This window comes from Homo sapiens, chromosome 20, assembly GCF_000001405.40.
Source record: "Homo sapiens chromosome 20, GRCh38.p14 Primary Assembly".
NCBI lineage: Eukaryota > Metazoa > Chordata > Mammalia > Primates > Hominidae > Homo > Homo sapiens.
In genome coordinates, this window is record NC_000020.11 from 26298436 (window position 1) to 26300831 (window position 2396).

At 37.9% G+C, this 2396-nt stretch overlaps 1 annotated feature.

Moving 5' to 3' along the window:
* Positions 1499-2000: an enhancer, noted in NCBI's record as "NANOG hESC enhancer chr20:26280570-26281071 (GRCh37/hg19 assembly coordinates)". NCBI's record gives its function as "activates a minimal SCP1, AML or CMV promoter by ChIP-STARR-seq in primed H9 embryonic stem cells {active_cell/tissue: H9 hESC(primed)}" and the evidence as "EXISTENCE:reporter gene assay evidence [ECO:0000049][PMID:30033119]".

Below are 2396 nucleotides of genomic sequence, written 5' to 3' on the forward strand. Positions count from 1 at the left end.
CGTTGGAAACGGAATATCTTCAAAAAACTAGACGGAAGCATTCTCAGAAACTTCTTTGTGATGTGTGCATTCAACTCACAGAGTTGAACCATTCTTTTGACAGAACAGTTTTGAAACACTCTTTTTGTGGAATCTGCAAGTGGACATTTGGAGCGCTATGAGGACTAAATTGAAAAAGGAAATATCTTCACATAGAAACTACACAGAAGCATTCTCAGAAACCTGTTTGTGTTGTGTGCATTCAACCCACGGAGTTGAACATTCCTTTTCATAGATCAGTTTTGCAACACTCTCTTTGTAGAATTCGCAAGTGGATATTTGGACCACTTTGAGGCCTTCGATGGAAACGGGATGTTTTCACATAAAAAGTAGACAGAAGCATTCTCAGAAACTTCTTTGTGATGTGTGCATTCATCTTATGGAGTTGAACCGTTCTTTTGATGGAGCAGATTTGAAACACTCTTTTTGTAGAATTTGCAAGTGTATATTTCGACCGCTTTGCGGCCTTCATTGGAAACGGAATGTCTTCACAAAAACTAGATGGAAGCATTCTCAGAAACTTCTTTGTGATGTGTGCATTCAACTCACAGAGTTGAACCGTTCTTTTGATAGAACAGTTTTGAAACACTCTTTTTGTGGAATCTGCAAGTGGCCATTGGGAACGCTTTGAGGTCTGTGGTGGAAAAGGAAATATCTTCACGTGAAACTACACAGAAGAATTCTCAGAAACTTCTTTGGATGTTTGTTTTCAACTAACAGAATTCAACATTCTTTTTCATTGAGCAGTTTTGAAACACTCTTATGTAGAATTTGCAAGTAGATATTTGGACTGCTTTGAGGCCTTCGTTGGAAACGGGATATCTTCACAAAAACTAGACAAAAGGAGTCTCAGAAACAACATTGTCATGTGAGCATTCAACTCACAGAATTGAACTACTCTTTTGATAGAGCAGTTTTTAACACTCTTTTTGTAGAACCAGCAACTGGACATTTGGAGCACTAAGAGGCCTAAGGTTAAAATGGAAATATCTTCACATAAAAACTACACTGAAGCATTCTCAGAAACTTCTTTGTGATGCGTGCATTCAACTCACAGAGTTGAACCTTTCTTTTGATAGATCAGTTTTGAAACAGTCTTTTTGTAGAATCTGCATGTGGACATTTTGAGTGCTTTGAGGCCTATGGTGAATAAGGAAATATTTTCACATAAAAACTACACAGAAGCATTGTCAGAAACTACTTTGTGATGTTTGCTTTCAACTCACAGAGTTGAACATTCGTTTTCATAGAGCTGTTTTGAAACTCTCTTTTTGCAGAATTTCCAAGGGGATATTTGGAGCGCTTTGAGGCCTGTGGTGAAAAAGGAAATATCTTCACGCAAAAATAGACCGAAGCATTCCCAGAAACTTCTTTGTGATGTGTGCATTCAACTCACGGAGTTTAACCTTTCTTTGGATAGATCAGTTTTGAAACAATCTTTTTGTAGAATCTGCAAGTGGACAATTGGGGTGCTTTGAGGCCTATGGTGAAGAAGGATGTATCTTCACAGAAAAACTTCACGGAAGAATTCTCAGAAACTTCTTTGTGATGGCTGCATTCAACTCACAGAGTTGAACCATTCTTTTGATAGAGAAGTTTTGAAACACACTTTTTCTAGAATCTGCATGTGGACATTTGGAGCGCTTTGAGGCCTGTGATGAAAAAGGAAATATTTTCACATAAAAATTACACAGAAGCATTCTCAGAAACTTCTTTGTGCTGTTTGCTTTCAACTCACAGAGTTGAATATTCCTTTTCATAGAGCAGTTTTGAAACACTCTTTTTGTAGTATTTGCAAGTGGATATTTATACTGCTTTGAGGCCTTCGTTGGAAACGGGATATCTTCAAAAAACTAGACAGAAGCATTCTCAGAAACTTCTTTGTGATGTGTGCATTCAACGCACAGAAGTGAACCGTACTTTTGATGGAGCAGTTTTGAAAAACTCTTTTTGAAAAATATGCAAGTGGCCATTTGGAACGCTTTCAGGACTTTGCTGGAAAAGGGAATATCTTCAGATAAAAGTACACAGAAGAATTCTCAGAAACTTCTTTGGATGTTTGTTTTCAACTCACAGAATTGAACATTCCTTTTCATAGAGCAGTTTTGAAACACCCTTATGTAGAATTTGCAAGTGGACATTTGGAGCGCTTTGAGGCCCTCGTTGGAAACGGGAGATCTTCACCAAAACTAGACACAAGCAGTCTCAGAAACTACTTTGTGATGTGTGCATTCAACTCACAGATTTGAACCGTTATTTTGATAGAGCAATTTTGAAACACTCTTTTTGTAGAATCTGCAAGTGGCCATTGGGAACGCTTTGAGGCCTGTGATGGAAAAGGAAATATCTTCAGATGA